Genomic DNA, 20,453 nt, shown 5'->3' with positions numbered 1-20,453 from the left:
ATTTTACAGAGAGCCGATTGGTCTGTTTTACAGAGAGCTGATTGGTCTGTTTTGACAGGGTGCTGATTGGTGCGTTTACAATCCCTGAGCTAGACACAAAAGTTCTCCAAGTCCCCACTAGATTAGCTAGATACAGAGTGCCTATTGGTGTATTCACAATCCCTTAGCTAGACATAAAGGTTCTCCAAGTCCCCACCAGATCAGCTAGACAGAGCACTGATTGGTGCATTTACAAACCTTGAGCTAGACACAGGGTGCTGATTGGTGCATTTACAACCCCTGAGCTAGATACAGAGTGCTGATTGGTGTATTTACAATACCTTAGCTAGACATAAAGGTTCTCCAAGTCCCCACTAGACTTAAGAGCCCAGCTGGCTTCATCCAGTAGATCCCGCACAGGGGCTGCAGGTGGAGCTGCCTGCCAGTCCCGAGCCTTGCGCCCGCACTCCTCAGCCCTTGGGCGGTGGATGGGACTGGGTGCCGTGGAGCAGGGGGCGGCGCTCGTCAGAGAGGCTCGGGCTGCACAGAAGCCGATGGCGTTGGGGGAGGCTCAGGCATGGTGGGCTGCAGGTCCCGAGCCCTGCCCCGTGGGGAGGCACCTAAGGCCCAGCGAGAAATCGAGTACAGCGCCAGTGGGCGGGCACTGCTGGGGGACCCGGCGCACCCTCCGCAGCTGCTGGCCCGGGTGCTAAGCCCCTCACTGCCCGAGGCCGGCCGGCCGCTCTGAGTGTGGGGCCCGCGGAGCCCACGCCCACCTGGAACTCACGCTGGCCCACAAGTGCCGCGCTCAGCCCCGGTTCCCGCCCGCGCTGCTCTCTCCACACCTCCCTGCAAGCTGAGGGAGCCGGCTCCGGCCTCGGCCAGCCCAGAAAGGGGCTCTCACAGTGCAGCGGCGGGCTGAAGGGCTCCTCAAGCACAGCCAGAGTGGGCAACGAGGCCGAGGAGGCTCCGAGAGCAAGCAAGGGCTGCCAGCACGCTGTCACCTCTCAAAGGGATGAAGGTGTGGGCTCATGCCGTTTTCCCGCAGCCTGGAGGAAGGGGTGGACAACCCGGTTGCATTCAGAGGGGGAAGCTCACAGTGGGCGGAAGTCCCATAACTGGAAGTGACCTGCAGGGCTGAGCCGCTAAAGCTGGCCTGCCCGACTGACAGCAGCACATCTCTGCCCGAAGCCTCCGGCCGAGCCTCGCTTCAGGTACCTACTGCCCGCGCCCCGCTCTCCAGCCTGGCACAGACTCAACTGGCAGGCTGGTTCTGCTGGGGCGCCCGAGTCGGGCCGCGGCGCCACCTGCTGGACACACGATCCATCTGCGCCTCCAGAAGCCGGCGGCCTGTGGGAAAGGAAGACCCCGCTCCTACCCTGGGACTCAGCTTTGAGGCCCTCAGAGGGTTGAAGTGCGTGCCTCAGGGTGTGAGCCAAGAGACAACACCGTTCCCTGGTGTGGTCACGGCGTGGTTAGGAGCTCCAGGGCTGGGCTCTGACAGACCTGGCTTCAGTTCCTGCCTGGACCACTTCCTAGATGTGTGACCCTTGGGGAGCACTCGAGCCTCCCATGCCTCATCTGTGAAACTGAAATGACGCCCATCAGAAGGAGCTCTCCCACCTTCCTCCAAGCCATTCTCCATCCTTTCGCTTTGCCTTTTTTTTCTTTTATAGCACGTACCACCGTCTGATATTTTAATATCCCTTGTTTACTATCTCGCCCACAAAATGTCAGCTGTAGCGTGGTAGCAACTTAGCTCACTGCTGTATCCCAAAAGCCGCAAGCAGGGCCTGCCAGGGTTGGGGCTTCATAAAAACACTTCTCAGTTGAAACACACTTTGCACAATGACTAGCACATACTAAGTATTCCATAAATGGTATTATTATCTTCATTATGCATTCATCAATTCACTTATGCATTTATTCATTTCTTCTTAGCTGATTCACTCACATATAGTTATTTAAAAAATGGAGGTAAAAGATATGTAACATAGGATTTACCATTTAACTATTTTTAGGTGCGCAGCTTGCTGGCACTGAGTCCGCTCACATTGCTGTGCAGAGTCACCACCATCCATCTCCAGAACTCTTCCCATCTTTCCCAGCTGAAACTGCACCCATGAAACCCTCACTCCTTGTTCCCCTCACCCAGCCCCTGGAAACCAGCATTCTACTTTCTGTCTCTATGAATTAGACTGCTCTAGGGATCTCATGTAAGTAGAATCATAGAGTATTTGTCCTTTTATCACAAGTATTTTGGAGCCCCTACTACATACAGTAAGGAGTAGTTCTTGTAGCACCAAGGTGAGGATTAACTGAGATCAATGCAGGTAAAGCACCTAGCACAGGGCAAGTCACAGATGGAGAGCCCAGATTAAATTAGGGCCCCATCCCCTGCACCTTCCTCCCTGAGCTGTGAGGTGAGGTCGTGCTTTTGCCCTGGCAGGGAATTCTCACCCTTGATTTCCCTCTGTGGCTGCTATACTCTATGTAGACACCAGATGGCCGACTTGTACCACGGAGATGTCTTTGGCTGCTGCCTGCAGAGGGGAGCATAGAGAGATGCCGGGAAAGAGGGAGCCTGTCTGGGGCTCGGAGGCAGCAGGAAATGATTAAGAAAAAGGGTGCTGTGGATGAGACACAGGGGCCTAAATCCCCTAGGGTTTGAATCATATGTCGATAGCAGGGATCCTGCAGAGAGGAGGAAGAGGAGAGAAGGGACAGGATGTTGCAGCGGAAAGAGCACAGGGGCTGTTGCTGTATACTTGGGGAACACACTCAACCCAGCTTGGCCACCTTTCTGCTAATGCGTCTTCTGATAGCCGCTCTGTAGAGTTGTTTGGGACATTAAGTGAAGAGGTTTGCTGAGGCTCCTGGCACACGGCAAGGCTCTGTGGGGACTGATGCATGGCAAAGAGAGGCTCCTTCTGGGACCACGACACAGCCAGGAGGTGGGGGAATCTTTATCCCTCCTCACGCCACTCAGTGAAGGCCACTCCATCTCCTACTTACTAAGTTTCCACTGAGTGCCAGACCCTAAGCCAGGTGGTAGGCAACCAGGGACCTTAGCATGCCTCCAGTCCCTGTCCAGCCTGCTAGTGAGTGGCACAGGAGAGCCTGCGTCGCTGGGGTCCTCCCCCACCTGCTTGTCAGCCCCTGCTGCTTCCAGGAGCGCTTTGGTCTCCTAAGCAGGAGTGGCCAGGCAGGGGGTGTCATATGCCCACTTTACAGATTCCTCTCCGCCCTCAGAAACTAGTTTTTATTGCCCACAAAAAGCCTTATTTAAGAAACTAGACACAAAAGGTCACAAATTGCATGACTGCGTTCTTTGAAATGTCCGGAAAAGACAAATTCAGAGACAGACGGTAGATTAGTGGTTTCCAGGGGCTGAGGGAGGGGACGATGGGAAGAAACTGCTTAATGGGGTTATCTTCTGTGAATGATGAAAATGTTTTGGAACTAGATAGAGGTGGTGATTGTACAACATTGTGAATGTACTGGATTGTTCACTTTAAAATGTTAGCTTTTTTTTTTTGGGAGACAGATTCTCACTCTGTCGCCCAGGCTGGAGTGCAGTGGCCGGATCTCAGCTCACTGCAACCTCCAGCTTCTGGGTTCACGCGATTCTCCTGCCTCAGTCTCCCCTAGGATTACAGGTGCATGCTGCCACACCCACCTAATTTTTGTATTTTTAGTAGAGACAGGGTTTCACCATGTTGGCCAAGCTGGTCTTGAACTCCCGACTTCAAGTGATCTGCCCACCTTGGCCTCCCAAAGTGCTGGGATTACAGGCGTGAACCACTGCGCCTGGCTACGTTATGTAAATTTGACCTTAATTTTTAAAAAGGTGATTTAAAAATATGTTACTGCTATTGTGACCATTAAAGTTAAGGGCTGGGAGAGGTATAAGGACCTTCCAAACCTTGAAATCCAAAGACTGGAGCTTTTCTCTCTCTAACGATTGAGGAAGGACTGTATCCATCCATCTGTCTGTCTGTCTGTGCATCCATCCGGCCTTCTCATCATTCATCTATCCATCCATTCACCTACTCACCCATCCATTCTTCCGCCATTTATTTTATTATCTGTTTTCTTATTATTCATCCACCAATGTATCATTCCCTCTGTTTCCTCGCTTACCCATCTGTCCATGCACGCACCCACCTACCTGCCTATACTCCCATTCGTCCAACCACCCATCCATCCATCCACCCACCCACCCACTCACCTACCTGCCATGCTCCCGTTCATCCATCCATTTATCCATCTACCCATCCATCCATCCACCTATCCATCCACCCATCCATTCATCCATCCACCCATCCATTCACCAACCCACCCACCTACCTGCCATGCTTCCATCTTTCCATCCATCCGTTCATCCACCCACCCACCCATCCATTCACCAAACACTCACCCACCTACTTGCCATGCTTCCATCCTTCCATCCATCTACCCACCCACCCATCCCTTCACCAAACACTCACCCACCTACTTGCCATGCTTCCATCCTTCCATCCATCTACCCACCCACCCATCGATTCACCAACTCACCCACCTACCTACCATGCCTCCATCCATCCATCCCATTCACCATCCACTCACCCATTCATCCACCTACCCATCCATTCATCCATCCATCCACCAACCCACCCACCTACCTGCCATGGTCTCATCCATCCATCCATCCACCCAGCAGACCCTTTAGCCCCTTCTCTGTCTCAAGCATCATAATTTCAATAATAAGCAACTCAAAATCAGTCCTTATCCTCAAGGGGTTCCCTGTGTCCAGTGGAAGAGACACACTCTTAAATAATTACAATGGACTATGGTAAATGCTCCCTGAGAGAAGCTTGGGAGATTGTGGGAACACGAAGCAGGGCAGCTGACCCAGCTGGGTCAGGGGAGTATGGAAAGGGCTTCCTCAGGGAAGCAATGTGTTAAGTGCAGCCTTGAAGAATAAACAGGAGAAAACCCAGAAGATGTGTTTTGATTGGGGGTGGTGGTGGCCAGAAGGGGAGAAAGGTGCTTCTTGCAGAGGGATCTATAAGATCAAATGCCCCAGTGCGGTGCAAGAACATGGCACAAAGAAATGTCCAGTGTGGTAGGAGTTTAGCATTTGAGAGGGGAGAGTGCAGTGGCCAAAGGATGGAAGAGGGACTCACAGGCAACCTCAGAACAGGTGGATGGGGCTTCACGGGTCAAGGCAAAGAGCTTGGGTGGTGGGGAGCCATGGGAAGGTTTTAGGCCAGAAAACAACCTGATAAGATCTGCATTTTAGACTAATCCCTCTGCTGCAGTGTAGAGGCTGGACTGGAGGGGGCGGGCCGGAAGGTGGAAGATAGGGAGGAGCCAGGTGAAGAAGAAGAGGCATTGGGTACAAGTGTGTTACTGGGAGTATCCTCAGGACCCAGATGGTCCAGTGACAGGTGTCCTCACTGGACCCTTCCCATTCCAGCGACCCTGAGCAGCACCCCTTCCAGCTGCCAGCGACGCCCTTGCTGGGATCCGAAGCCAGAGTTCATCACTTTGAGTTACATGCTGGTTGGGGCTTTGGGGCTCTGCCTCTGGCTGCGCCCTGGGCTCTGGGCTGCTGCAAGGGAAGGGAGCAGAGGAGGAAAGGCAGCCTGTTCAGGGGCAGGGGTCTGGAACCCACAGGGGACAGGCCCTTCCCCTGTGCTCCTCCTCCCTCTCCCCTCCCACAACCCCTCCTGCAGACCATTGCTCACCTCCTCTTACTCCATTACTTCCCTCAGAAGGGACTTGACTATGAGTCTCATTTCACAGACGAGGAAGGAGGGAAAAGTGTCTTGCTCCAAGGCACACACCCAGAAAGCAGCAGAACCAAGGCTTGAGCTCAAGCTGGCCTGATCCCAGAGCCCCTGCCCATTCAACTCTGCCAACCACTCCCTTAATATTCGCCATCTTGTAAAAATTTGCTACAGAATACCATCCATGCCTACATCTATACGTCCACAACGAGGAGCAGAATATTAAATAAAATGATAGCCAAGCACGTGGGCTATGGAGCCACAGGGCCTGGGTTGGAATACTGGCTTTTCTCCTTAGTAAAAGGTGTGTGACTTTGGGCAAATTTCTTAGCCTCTCTGTGCCTATTTTTGCATGTACTAAGAGGGGTAATGAAAGTGACTACCACGTGGGGTATTGGGAAGAATTAATGAGTTAATCTGAATAAATGTAAAATGTCTTAGTAACAGCTGACATTAATCGAGGGCAGGCGAACCAGACACTGTTCTTACACTTTACACATGTTCACTAATTTAATCCTCACAACACAGCTCTGTGAGGCAGGCATCACTGTCAGCTCCGTTTTACAGATGAGGAAGATGAGGCCCAGAGAGGGGAATTAAGTTGCCCTCAGTGATATAGCTACGGAGTAGCAGAGTCGGGATTCAAACCCACGAAGGCCAAGCTGCCAAATCCGCCGTCTTATTGATGCCCCGCTGGAGCAGTAGTTACATTCCACAGACCTTGGCTGTATGACTGCAGCCACCACCATGACCACCATTCACCATCTTGCGGGAACCTCCAGCCCTGCAGCAGGGCGTGATGTGAGTGAGACACAAAGGCAAGGGCCTTCTTTCCTCTGAGCTGGGGCTGGGTACATCCTTCCTCTGAGGGCCTCTGAGAAATGGGCTCAAGAGAATTGAGCACGGTCCTTCCTTCCCTCCCTTCTGTTCAAACAGAAAACCAGAGAAGCCAGGCTGACCCTGGGAGCAGGAGGAGCAAGAAGCCTGGAGTTCTGCTGGGGCCAAGCCCAGAGCCTCGTTTCCAGATTTGATCTGCACACGCTCTCCCCTCCCAAACACCCCTAATGGATAGTGTTAGCAACCATCCTGTGGCAGCCCTCTCGGGGGTCTTGGATTCTAATTATCAGGGCCCTCTGACATCAGCTGCCCTTCCTCGGCGCGGCTAGAAGGCCCTGGCCCTGCAGGAGCCTAATGAGGGATGCAGGGGTGGGAGGCTGACTCCCTCACCACACCTTTGCTGCCCTGCCTTACCCAGCCCTGCTCTCAAGGACCCCTCCCTGACCACCTTCACGTTTCATCGGAAAAGGGTTTTAGAGCCTCCATGATCCTCACTTTAATTAAAAGGAAGCGTCCTCCTGGAGCTGTTGGGCTGGATTTTCTTTTCCTCCTTGGAACATTTGCTCAGCCTCTGAGCCGGAGCCTGGTGCCTGGTTAATTGAAAGTTACAGATGAACAAGGACATGGCCCTCTTGGGAGGGGACGAGGAGAGGCACAAGCTGGTGTTGGTGCCATGCTTTTCTGGTGGGGACGGGGGCGGCCATGGCCTAGGCTTGTGGGGAGAAGGTGGGCAGGGGTCTAGAGGTACCTTCACCGGATCAGAGCCGGCCCCACTCCAGACACCGCAGACCCTGACAGAAGTCCCAGGCACCAAACACCCGAATTCTAAATAACTCATGTGCTCAGTTTCTTCAGAAAAGTGACAAAATAGAGCAAAATGAAGAGCCCACAGTGCTCCAGGCCTCCTGCCAGCTGGAGATAATTGTCCCTAACACCTGGGCATGTATAGCCTTCTGGAACTTTTTGGACACTTTGCACAAACAAATGATTTTTATTGCCTCCTGTCCTTGATTATAAAATTGATAGATGTTCATTGGAAATAGCTTGGAAAATAGCTTCTTAAAAGTATACAAAAACTTTTAACCATCCACCCATAATGTCATACCCAGAGGCTGGTGTGGGCCTGAATGTGTACTCTGGAGTCAGACAATCCTGGCCTTGGTGAGGACCTTACTTTCCTATGCCTCGGTGGTCCCATCTGCAGAATGGGAATGATACTGTAGCGGCTGTCTCATGGGGTTGTTATGAGCAGGAAGGCATCATCGCATGTCCTCCTAGCCTTGCTCAACAGATTCTTCGGGTGTATAATGATATCATGCAATACAGTGCAAATAATACTGTGTGCATATAGTTTTGTATTCTGTTTTTACTCATCCTTGAATTTTAGACACTTTAGAAAAATGATATTTACTTTTCTCTTGCAATATTACTTTTAATGACTGAGTCATGTTTCATGGGATGGGAGTGTCATCATTTATCCTACCAACCCTATTGCTGAACTTCTGGGTGGATTCCTTTCTTTTGTTGCTGTTGTTCAACGTGATACTACTAAGCATATTTTCGAGTACAAACTTGAGACAAGATCTCTGAGTATTTCTCCAAGAAATAGATTCCTAGACGTAGAATTGGTGAGTCAAAAGGAATACGCAGGCCAGGCAGGATGCCTCATGCCTCTAATCCCAGCACTTTGGGAGGCCGAGGCGGGTGGATCACCTGAGGTCAGGAGTTCGAGACCAGCCTGGCCAACATGGTGAAACCCCATCTCTACTAAAAATAGAAAATTAGCCAGGCATGGTGGTGGGCACCATAATCCCAGATACTCCAGAGGCTAAGGCAGGAGAATCACTTAGAACCCGGGAGGTGGAGGTTGCAGTGAGCTGAGATCGTGCCACTGCACTCCAGCCTGGGTGACAGAGCAAGACTCTGTCTCAAAAAAAAAAAAAGAAAAAAAAAGAGGAATTCTTACTAAATACTGTTACCAAATTATGATCAGAAAGTTTAAAAAAATCAATCTATGCATCTGTACTATGTCTCTGATGTGTTTATTTCTCTGCATTCTGATGCTGCCAATTATGATTTTTGAAAGATCTATAGACTTGATGGATGAGGAAGATCTTTCTGGTTGCTTTCAGTATTTGGTGACTAGTAAGTATTTTGGTATTTGATGTTGAATATTTGGTAGTTGAGAGAGCAAGTTTCTCATCTGTTTGCACCTCTGGTTTCTTCCTTGTAAATTTGGGACAATAATAATATTTATTTCATGGGGATGTTGTGAAGATTAAATGAGTTAATACAGATGAAATATTTAGAGCCCTTCCTGGCAAATGCCAAATAAACCTTAGTGGATATCATTATCGTTGTTGCTGTGTTTGCCAAATTCTACAGGCATAATTCAGGGCCTGTCTCCTGATGGAAAGAGTGCTGTGTGATTTCATGGAAGCCTCTTGTCTTCTCTGGTCCTCAGTTTCTTAACCTGCCAGTTGTGGCCGAGAACACCAGTGTTGCCTGCCTTGGAAGGTTGTTGGAAGGACTGAACAAGGACTTGCCTCTCCAGAGGTGGGCAAGTGTGGGGGTTTACTGTCTCTCTTCTGGCTTCATGGGCTTTAGGTTCCTAAGAGAGAGTCCAAGATGTCTTCCTGGAGGAAGAGCACCAACGCCAAGACTGAGAGAGAAGTTGGAGTTAGGCTGCTGGAGGGAAGGAGGCGAGTGCTCCAGGCAGAGCAAACAGGCTGTGCAAAGGCCAACAGGGGAAGAGCAGTAGAGTTTGGGGGAACTCCATGCGGCTGAGCAGAGACTGGGTCGTGGGTGGCTGGGAGAAGGGAGTGGTGAATAATGAGAGAAGCAGCAGGAACCGGAAAACAAGATCTTAGCTGGAAAGCTCCCCAGACACCGCAGCCCACAGTGGTCTCCATCGCCACTGAACTGTCCAGCTCCTCTTTTGGTGGGACATTCCTTGTATTGTTATTCTGAATGCTCACCTCTAACTCAGGAACAACTAGAATGCCACTCCGAGGTGGGGTGGGGACTTTCTAAGTTTTTCTCTAAGCCTCGGTGTCCTGGGGGATTAGACGGGGACAATGATAGTCCCCACCTCTTACAGTTGTGCCAGTGTCAAGGTTGACAACAATGTCACCTAGGCTCAGCCTCCATCTATCTGTTTTGCCATCTGGGGGCTGGCTCATTTCCTTGGCATCATAGATGCCAGCAGAAACTCCAGCATCTTCACTACACCTAGCTATATGGAGAATCAGAGAAGGGGGATGCTTCCCTTCAAGCATATGCATCTTGAACTCTTAATCGAAGTATAACATACACAAAGAAAGGTTCAAAAAAAAAAAAAAGCATGCAGCTCAGTTGCTTCCCTGTAACTAGCACCAGCTCAGCCAGCAGAATATCACCAGCCCTGCAGGAGCTCCCATTGCCCTGCCTTCCAGTTGCTACCTTCCAATAAGGGCCACCAATCTCTGAAATCTAACAGCACAGTTCAAGTCAGCCTGCTATGGGCTCTATAGAAATGTAATCATGCATTCTGTACTTATAGTGTCTTTGCCCTGCATTACATTAGTGTGATTTACCCTGTTGTTGTGTGTCGCTGCCATTTGTTAATTCTCAATGCTATGTAATATTCTATTGCACGAATATATCACAATTTATTCATTCTTCTGTTGACAAACTCGACTGTTTTCAGGTTTTTGCTATTATAGATAGTGCTGCTATGAACATTCTTGCACATATCTTTTGGTGAACGTTAAGAATGCATTTCTGGCTGGACACGGTGGCTCACGCCTGTAATCCTAGCACTTTGGAAGGCTGAGGCAGGAGGACTGCTTGAGCCCAGGACTTTGAGACCAGCCTGAGCAACATAGCAAGACCCTATCTCTACAAAAAATAAAATAATTAGCTGAGCATGGTGGCATGCCTGAAGTCCCAGCTACTCGGAAGGCTAAAGTGGGAGGATCACCTGAGCCCAGGAGATGGAAGCTGCAGTGAGCTGTGATTGTGCCACTGCACTCCAGCCTGGGTGACAGAGCAAGACGCTGTCTCAAAAAAAAAAAAAAAAAAAAAAAAAAGAAAAGAAAAAAGAAAAAAAGTATGTGTTTCTGTTATTCTGTTAGGCATACACCTAGGAGTGGAATTGCATATATTCAGCTTTAGTAGACACTCAGGCATCATGCTTTTAAAACACATCATTATGAACAGTTTTAAACACACAGAAAATTTGAGTGAAAAATAGAGTGAGCACCTATGTACTTAACCATCTAGATTATACCATTAGCACTCTGCATTTTACTATAATTGCTTTATCTTATCTTCATAGTTTGTCCATCCATCTATCCATCTATTCATCCATCTCTCTCTCTTTCTTTTTTGGTCCAGTATCTACTTGTAAGAGCAAAAACCTTTCCAGTTTCACTTCCCCGTGTCTCGTCCTCACACCTCATTGGCCATAATTGCTCCCATGCCCGTGACTCCACCAATCACTTCCAGGAAAATGGAGTGGCATGATTGACGTGGATCAGTCATGCCCCGGAACAAGGGCAGAGCTCTGCCCCCCACCCCTCTGTAGCGCAAGGCCACCTGATACCTGAGCAAGATCAGAGTCTGGTATTGAGGAGGAGGAGGGAAATGGCTGTTGCTTCACCATTCAACTGAGTTTTTCACACCATCTCCAGAGACCACCTCGACAGGCAAGAAAATAGGCTGTGTGGGACCTGAGCATCCCCTGGGGAGAGGAGGCGTCTCCTGCATGGCTGCGAGTGGGAGCCGACAGTTGGCTTCCTTGCCTCATTTGCTCCTCCTGACGTTCCCCTTGGGCTTTGACAGTTTCAGGGAGCTCAGGGAGCAGGGGGAAGATCAGCTTCTCCCATCAGGGCATGAGGGAAGCAGGATGCCTGGTACCCAGCCCTGCTTTCCTTGGCAGGCCAGGTGAGTTGGAGCTGAGCCCTGACCTGTCCTTAGGGTTCTGACCTTGGGGTGCTGGTGTCAAGTTGGAAGAGGCGGGGCGGAGCTAAGAGGCTGGCCCTTGAACGCTTAGCATGTAGCATATATGCCCCTGGCACGTCACAAGTGCTCAGGAAATATCCTGCTAAGTCAGTGTTTCCAAGATTGATCCTGGGCTTTGGGCAAGTTTCTGCTCCTCCCAAGGTCTCAGGTTCCTAATCCACAAAAACGGGAAAGTAAAGAAAAAGAACAATTGTTAGAGCAATCTCTGTCCCACCCTTTTAGGGCTTCTCATCCCTGGACCAGGAAGCAGTATCTGTCACCTCCTCCAACCCTTCTTTCACTAAAGGACTAGAGAGAAAGAAGACCTCTGGACCTGTGGGTCTCAAAGTGCGACCCCCCAACCAGCAGCCTCAGCAGCATCTGAGAATTTGTTAGACACACACATAGTCAGGCTCCCCCCTCACCCCAGGCCTCCCAATTCCAGTGATTTCTATGAAGCTTGAGAAACTCTGAGGTCCCCAGGTGACGCTCACACTGCTGCTCTGGGACTACACTTTGGGAACCACTCAACCCTGACTGTATGCTAGAATCACCAGGAACTTAAAAAAAGGTGAAGCTCAGCCCCACCGCTAAAGATTCCGAGTTGATTGATCTGAGATGGAGGCCTAGGTGGTTCCAACCTGAAGCCAGTGTTGAGAACCATTGCTTTCAAAGCTTGGGAGAATGCTCTGTCATTTAATTATCTACCTACATTTGTGTATACATCAGTTCATTCATTCTTTTGTGTGTACACTTGTTTGTTTGTTTCTTTGGGGAAGCATGTTTAATGTGCCTTTAGGTATTCTCACTGGTTCTTCCAGCCAGCCATTGCAATCCACATAGTCGTTGAATCTTCACAAAGCAACAGGCATGTGCTCAGTGCTGGGGAAGCAATGTCATGAAAAACAGTCCCTGTCCTCTAGCTGGGGAATGAAAATGGGAAGAGATTAATGGGGTACTCTTGTGCCCAGATGGGCAAGTCCAGAGGCCCCCAGAACACAGTGAGGAGGGCCTGGTGCAGGGAAAGGTTCTGGGGGAGAGGATGCTCCAGGGGGTTGCAGCAGGGCAGAGATCACCTCCAAACTCCTTTAGCTCTTATGCAGGATAGAAACCAAATTGACACCAGGCAGATTAACAAGAGGAAAGTGTACACATTGTATTAGTTTTACATGTACCCAGGGATCTTCACAAGAAAGTGAAGTCAGAAGTGGCCAAAGCAAGATGCTTTTATACTTTTTAGACAACTGTAAATTTGAGAAGAAATGACAGGACAAAGAAAATCTTGATAGGAGCAGCAGGTTTTCTAGGGGAGCCACTAGGAGATATGTGGGGTACTGGCACGTGGAACTAGTGGATGTTGAGGGTTACTATGTTATGTATATTCAGTCATATTTATCCATCACAGCCCCTAAGTCTCAGTCTGTGGTTACAACGGCTATTTTCTCACCCTGGTATGGCGAAGGGACCCCCTCCCAGAGGAATCTTTATCACTTGCTACATGCAGGAAGAGACGGGTCAGCTAGCCCTTTTGGAAATTACAATTACTCCAGTGTTTTTAACTCAAAGTAATCAATATACCAATCTGGCATATTTTGGGTTAGTGCATCCTTCATTCCTCCAGGGATCCAGGAGTAGAAGCAGGAGTTCATCAGGGAGACCAGAGAGTTGAAAAGGGCACATCTGGCAGAGGGCAAAGTCCTCTACATCCTATATTCATGGATTGGAAGAGGTAATATTGATAAGATGGCAATACACCCCAAATCAATTGAAAGATTCATGCAACCCTATCAAAATTCCAGCGGTTTTCTTTTTTTTGCGTAAATTGGTAAGCTGTTTTTTAAAATTCATATGGAATTTTCAGAGAGGAGAGCAGCCAGATGAGTGTGCATGGGCAGCTAGATGGGGCTGAAGGTGGAAGACCAGATCAGACAGGGCCTTGCAGGGTATGGAGAGAAAGTTGAACTTGATTATCAGCATGGTAGGAGGCAGTTGGAGGGTTTTCAGCAGGCGAAAACCCTCCTGGCTCTGCCTTAGAAAGAGCTCTCTGGCCATGGGTTGGAGCACTGAGTGGAAGCTGGCCTTGTGGCTGCCAGGTGAACCCTAGCAGTGATCTGGCATGGGGAGCTGGAAAGAAGAGGCCTGCTTTGAGATATATGGGGTGGGGCAGGGGAGAAGCCCAGGTCAGGGCCCCACATCACAGGCTGTGGGGGTCTGGGGCTGGGGAGCCGGGGTCTGGTTGCGGCTGAGGAGGTGAGATTCTGAATGTCCCAGTTGGCTCTCAAGCCCCAGATGGGGCCAACTGCAGGCCCACATGACCACTATTAGTCTGTTTGGGGGTCACCTCCCTCTTTAAAGTCTAATGAGGCCATTGTTTTGTTGCAAAGCTTCAGCTTAAAAATTCTTTAAGTGCAAGGGCCAATTTAAAGTGAATGTTTCAATGGGCCAGGACTTGGATACATGAGGTGGGGGTGAAAAGAGAGCCAATGTGGGTCTTATCCCATGTCCCAGGTCCCTTCTCCCATTGGACCAACTCAGAAACCACCTGCTGCCAGGAGAATCATAAAGTCAGCCCCTCCCAGGCATCAAGCCACCATCCTCTTACCCCTGTTAAGGTGGGGCCCTCTGCTTGCACACCTCCAAGGACAGGGTGCTCACTCACTACAAAGACAGCTGGTTCTATTGTTGGACAGTCCTGACCATGAGAATGTCCAGTTCCTTAGGTACTGGAGCTTGTCTCCTGAGGTTCCCCTCTTACCCCCAATACACACACCTTTGGCTCCTCTAGGGTCACAGAGTACTCTGTATCTTTTTCCTTCATGCACGCATGCATGCATTCATTCAGTGTTTTTTTAAAGCGAGTCACTTCATTTCTCTAAGCACCATTAAGTGGGAGTAATTAGACCTGCTCTATGGGTTTTCATAGATATTAATGACACAGAGGTTAGGCAGCACTTAGCTGGTGTGTATTGCAAAATGCTGGCTTTCAGGAATAGGAAGCTATTAATAAAAGCAGATCTCTTTTAATCATTGGCATGTGGCAAATTTTGTGCCAGGCCTGGGGACACAAAGAAGATTGAGACAGTCTCCCCCAACAACCTTCAGCTCCCAAGAAGCTCATAGGCCAGGGTGGGAGGACCACAGTGCCAAGGAGCCTTGGAGCACAGGAGGGTGCCCAGCACATCCTGGGTAGGCTCCCGGGAGGTGACTTCTCAGCTGGGACCTGAGGAGAAGTTTACCAGGAGAAGAGGGGCAATGACAGGGATGGGAGTGTGTGAGTGGGGACGGGTCCTGGTGAAAGCTAGAGCCTGCTCCACCATCCCCCTCCCCACCGTAGGAACCTGTTCCAAACCTGTACCTTTCTCATCAAATAAAGGTGATACCCAGCTTCTTCCTAGATTGTTTGTGTGTTTAAAATAATTCCAGACTTAGAAGTTGTAAAACTCAGCTGGGCACAGTGGCTCATGCCTGTAATCACAGCACTTTGGGAGGCTGAAGTCGGTGGATCACTTGAGGTCAGGAGTTTGAGACCAGCCTGGACAACATGGCGAAACCCCATCTCTACTAAAAATACAAAAATTAGCCAAGTGGGATGGTGCACATCTGTAGTTCCAGCTACTCGGGAGGCTGAGGCAGGAGAATTGCTTGAACCTGGGAGATGGAGGTTGCAATGAGCCCAGATTGTGCTACTGCACTCCAGCCTGGGCAAAAGAACAAGACCCCATCTCTAAATAAATAAATAAATAAATAAATAGAAGTTACAAAACTCATATAAAGAGTTTCTGTATACTCTTCACCCAGATTCCCCAAATGTTATTTTCCACATTTGCTGGCTTTATCATTCTCTCTTATGCTCTCTCTCCACACACATATTATATATGTATATACTGTATTGTTATTATTTTTTTTCAGACAGAGTCTCACTCTGTTGCCCAGGCTGGAGTGCAGTGGCACAATCTCAGCTCACTGCAACCTCTGCCTCCCAGGTTTAAGCGATTCTCCTGCCTCAGCCTCCTGAGAAGCTGGGATTACAGGCACCCACCACCATACCCGGCTAATTTTTGTATTTTTAGTAGAGACGGAGTTTCACCATATTGGCCAGGCTAGTCTTGAACTCCTGACCTCAGGTGATCCACCCACCTGGGCCTCCTAAAGTGCTGGGATTACAGGTGTGAGCCACTGTGCCCAGCCTATATTGTATTTTTTTTTCTGAGTCATTTAAGAATAAGTTGTAGACAAGTTTCCCCTTTAGCCTGAATACTTCAGCATACATTTCCTAAATAAATGACATTCTTTTACATAACCACAGTGTATTGATCAAAATCATGTAATTATCATCCATACAATATTATTATCTCATCTACATATCTTATTCAAATTTCATCTATTGTTTCACTAATGTCCTTTACGGCAAGAGAAAAAAATTTCTGGGCCAGGTTCCATTTCCGGATAAAATTGCATTCTGTTGTCATGTCTTTAATCTGAACAATTCCTTGGTCTTTGTCTCTTATGACCTTGACATTTTTCAAGAGCATAGGCCAGTTGCTTTGTATACTATTCCTCAATTTTGGTTCCAGGATTGCTTTTAACAGTATTTCTTGATGTGATGTGTGGATGACTTTCTCCACTAGAAGGGCTTGAGGTGCTTATTAGAATGTAATTTCTGGGCACCAGCCTAGACTTCCTGCATCAGAGTGTCTGGGATGGGGTCTAGGGATCAGCTTTCTGCCCAGCACACTCTCTGATTCTTATGTGCACTGCTGGGTTAAAGCTTTCTTTTTCTGAAGATGCCGCTAAGGATTTGTGCATGGGGCTTCTGGGCCGGTGTTTCCTGGCATGGTCCTTGTAAATTCAGTCTGTGCATTTTACCCTGAAGCCCCTGCAGGCCTACGAGGTCAGTGCAGGCCCTTGCCTCCAGAGGGGTTGGCAGAAGATGTGGGGCTAATTTCTGAAGCTAAAAACACCTTTGCAAAAATTGTAGTAGTAAGGGAAATCGAACATACCTGACTTCATCTTGCTTCTACCAGGCTAGTTTGCTTTTGCTCATTCTTGTGCGGAGGCCATAGCAGCCCCTTCCTGGAGCTGTTCCCTTCTTTGTTTGGAAATTGCAATCGTATCTGTAAAGACTAACAAAAGGTAACAAGGTTAGAATGATGCTAGAGGCCTACAACTTCGCTAAAGAATAGGTTGAACTATAACCATCCATTGCTTGTTTAGTTTGCTTTTCTATATGTTGCTTACTGCCCCAGAGTCACATAACTGGAGGTCGTGATATTTGTAACTTCCCCAACTGCTCCTATGGATAACTTCACTATTGTGAAACCTAAAAGACTGGTCTTTGAGATGTTTTTCAGATTTAGCATTTCAGGAGATCAAGAGATGCCACATGATCCTGAAATCCCCTCCCAGGAACTGACTCAGCTGTTCAAAGACAGTTTAGAGACCCCTGTGATTTTGTCCCCAGCCAATCAATTGTTTCAGTTTCCCAGCCCTCTGCCTGCTGTTTTCAAGTACACTTAAAAACCCTAGCTTCTGAATTCTTGGGGAGGCAGATTTGAAAAACATCTCCCATCCTTTTGTTTAGTTACCTTGTGATAATTAAACCCTTTCTCTACAGCAACACTGCTGTCTCAATGTTCTGGCTTCATCTTGCAGTGGGCAAGAAGAACCCCTTTGGGCTGTAACAAGACTCCAGCAGGAAAGGGGCAGAAGCCCCTCATATTGATGCCATGGGCTTTTCCTGATCCCCCTCTTGCCTTAACTCTGCCTGGTCTTAGATCTTTGCCTTATACCCTGTGCCATGTTTGTGACCATGGAGGCCACTGTGCTATAGTGGAAGGATCTGGGCTCAGGGTCCAGTCCTGTGACTTTCAGCTCTGTGGCTTTGTGAGAAAGTTGTTTTCCCTCTCTGAGCCTGAGGAAATTCATCTATAAACGTGCATTAGTCCTTTTTGTGCTGCTATCAAGGAATATTTGAGACTGGGTAATTTATAAAGAAAAGAGGTTTATTTGGCTCACAGTTCTGCAGGCTGTACAAGAAGCATAGTGCCAGCATCTTCTCGGTTTCTGATGAGGCCTCAGGAAGCTTTTACTCATGGTGGAAGGGAAGGGGAGTCAGTGTGTCATATGAGAGAGGGAGAGAGAGAGATGCCAGGTTCTTTTAAACAACCAGCTCTTGTGCAAACTCATTACCATGGGGAGGGCACCAAGCCATTCATGAGACATCTGCCCCCATGACCCAAACACCTCCCACTAGGCCCACCTCCAACATTTGGGATCACATTTCAACATGAGATTTGGAGGAGATGAACATGCACACCATATCAAAATGCCAGTAATTACCTGCAATGTTCTGTAGGTTTGTGGTGAGGAGTAAACAGTATTCCACGAGAAAGTGCCGGGCACACAGAAGGCATTCAGGAAATAAGGATATCTTTTCCTTGCCTCCACATTCCTGTAATTTGGAGAACTGCTGTGGGGAGTACAGTAGGCTAGTGGCCCCCAGTTGCAGTGCCTTTGGGATGTCCCACAGTGTTGAGCCAAGTTTACACTGTCCCTGGCAGCACTGAGTGCATAGTGGAGTTAATAGGGCCTGGACATTTCTTCAATGTGGAACTCTTCAAAGCACAGCCTTTGCAGTGGGGATTCCTGGCGGGCTGGCTGAGACTGTCCCAGCGCTGCACTGCAGTCTATGGTTCTTCCCACACATGACTCCTTCCTTCTCCTGTTGTCCAGCCATCAATGTGGCTGGGTGTCTTCCTGCCTGGCCCTGCCCTTTCTCCCCTGTGTCATTTAAGGGTGTTTACCCCAATAGCTAGAAGAAAAAATCTGAAATGTTCCCAACACAAAGAAATGATAAACATTTGAGGCTATGGACATCTTAAATGCCCTGATTTGATCGTTATACATTGTATGCATGTATCAGAATATCACATGTACCCTATAAATATGTGCAATTATTATACATCAATACAAAATTTCAAGGTGTTTACCCACAGGTCCATTTTGCTGCTACATTTGTCTTGGCATCTGCTTCTTGGCGGACCTGAACTGACACCAACCTCAAGTAAAACACCAAGACATTCTCTTTGACAGTATCAGGTGAAACATCAGTAAACACATCACTGGAACCCTTGATTTCTCCTTCGCTCATGTTAGGATATTATTAGAGTTGTCTGTCATGGTTGGTCTCCTCACCCATGTCCCATTAGCATTTTTTGGTGAAAGAAGATTTTCCTCCAAAAGCAAAATATACAAAGTCCTTAATTTTATGTGCATTATAATGAGATGCCTTGTCAGTAAATTGTCCTTCTCCACATTGACAAGCCCACGTGACTTTGTATACCTTTTTGTTTTGTTTTGTTTTGTTTTTTTTTAGAGATAGGGTCTCCTTCTGTTGCCCAGGCTGGCACGCAATGGTGCAATCACAGGTCACTGCAACCTTGAACTCCTGGGTTCAAGCCATCCTCCTGCCTCAGCTTCCTGAATAGCTAGTACTACAGGCATGTACCATCATGCCTGGCTAACTTTTTAAATTTTTTCTGTGCAGATGGGTCCTTGCTATGTTGCTTAGGTGGGTCTTGCTTGAACTCCTGGTCTTAACAACCCTCCTGCTTTGGCCTCCCAAAGTGCTGCGATTACAGGCATGTGCCAATGTGCCTAGCCATGACTTTGTGTATTTAAAAATATAGTTTATTATGTATTTCCTATTATAAAAATAATGCTTGTATCTGACACAGACAGAAGTGCTGGATGTCAGAGTGCAGGCACGGCGGGAGCCAGTGTGCACAAAAATGAAGATGGAAAAGGGACTTCAGTGTTATGGCTGGAGCACTGACATGAAGGGTCAGCCATACCCCATGGGGTGGTCCCAAGGGAGAAGTGAGAAAAATCTTGTGGGGTGGTTGGTACAGAGCCTCAAACTTAGTAGGGCCTGAATGAATAGTTGTTATCATTATCACTGTTGTCATGAACTGCCACTACTTCAACACCTGCCTTCTCTGAGCAGCCCTGACCGTGGCTCAGTGAGCCTGAAGGGTGTGCCAGGGAAGATTCCACGAGGATCATAAAAGGGCTGGTTTGTGAGGACAGAGAGAAGAGTAAGCAGCTGGTGCTATTGTGCGGTCACAGAAAGTCACAGAATGGCTCAATATGAGAGTTTCCTATGTACCAGGCCCTGTTCTAAACACTTGACACTTACTAAGCCATGAATCCTCAGCCCTGAGTGGAAGATGCAATTGCTCTCACATTTCCACCCAAGAGAGGGGCTACACTAGCACAGGGTTGGAAAAGGGGATGGCTGAAAATGTTTTCCTAGCCTTTGGCTCAAACTGTAAAAGGTTTGGAAGTAAGAAGCCAGGAACTAGAAAACAGAAAGACTTCCTTGGGAGAAGAGATTATCTATCTATCTATCTATCTATCTATCTATCTATCTATCTATCTATCTAGATTATCTATCATCTATCTATCATCTATCTATATCTATCTACACACATACATGTGCATATGCATATATCTATACATATAGATATACATACACATGTACATACGCATATACATATACATGTACATACACATACACATATACCTATCCATATACATCCTGTGATTTATTTTCAACATACATAAGATAGTGTTAATATCCTCAATATATTAAAAATAACTCTTCCAAACAAATAAGACAAATACAAAAACAGGATGCTGGCTGGACACAGTTGCCCATGCTTATAATCCCAGCACTTTGGGAGGTGAAGGCAGGAGGATTGCTTGAGGCCAGGAGTTTGAAACCAGCCTGGTTAACACAGCGAGACTCTGTCTCTACAAAAGAAAAATTAAAAAATTAGCTGAACGTGGTGTCTCATGCCTGTAGTCCCAGCTACTGGG

At 48.1% G+C, this 20,453-nt stretch overlaps 1 annotated feature.

Annotated features, from left to right (window-relative positions):
* Window positions 16,301–16,595: a silencer, noted in NCBI's record as "tiled region #1670; K562 Repressive non-DNase unmatched - State 13:Ctcf". NCBI's record gives its function as "represses a minimal TATA promoter and a strong SV40 promoter by Sharpr-MPRA in K562 cells {active_cell/tissue: K562}" and the evidence as "EXISTENCE:reporter gene assay evidence [ECO:0000049][PMID:27701403]".

This window comes from Homo sapiens, chromosome 3 (genome assembly GCF_000001405.40).
Source record: "Homo sapiens chromosome 3, GRCh38.p14 Primary Assembly".
NCBI lineage: Eukaryota > Metazoa > Chordata > Mammalia > Primates > Hominidae > Homo > Homo sapiens.
The sequence above is the reverse complement of the archived record's forward strand: the minus strand, read 5'-3'. Positions and strand labels throughout refer to the sequence as shown.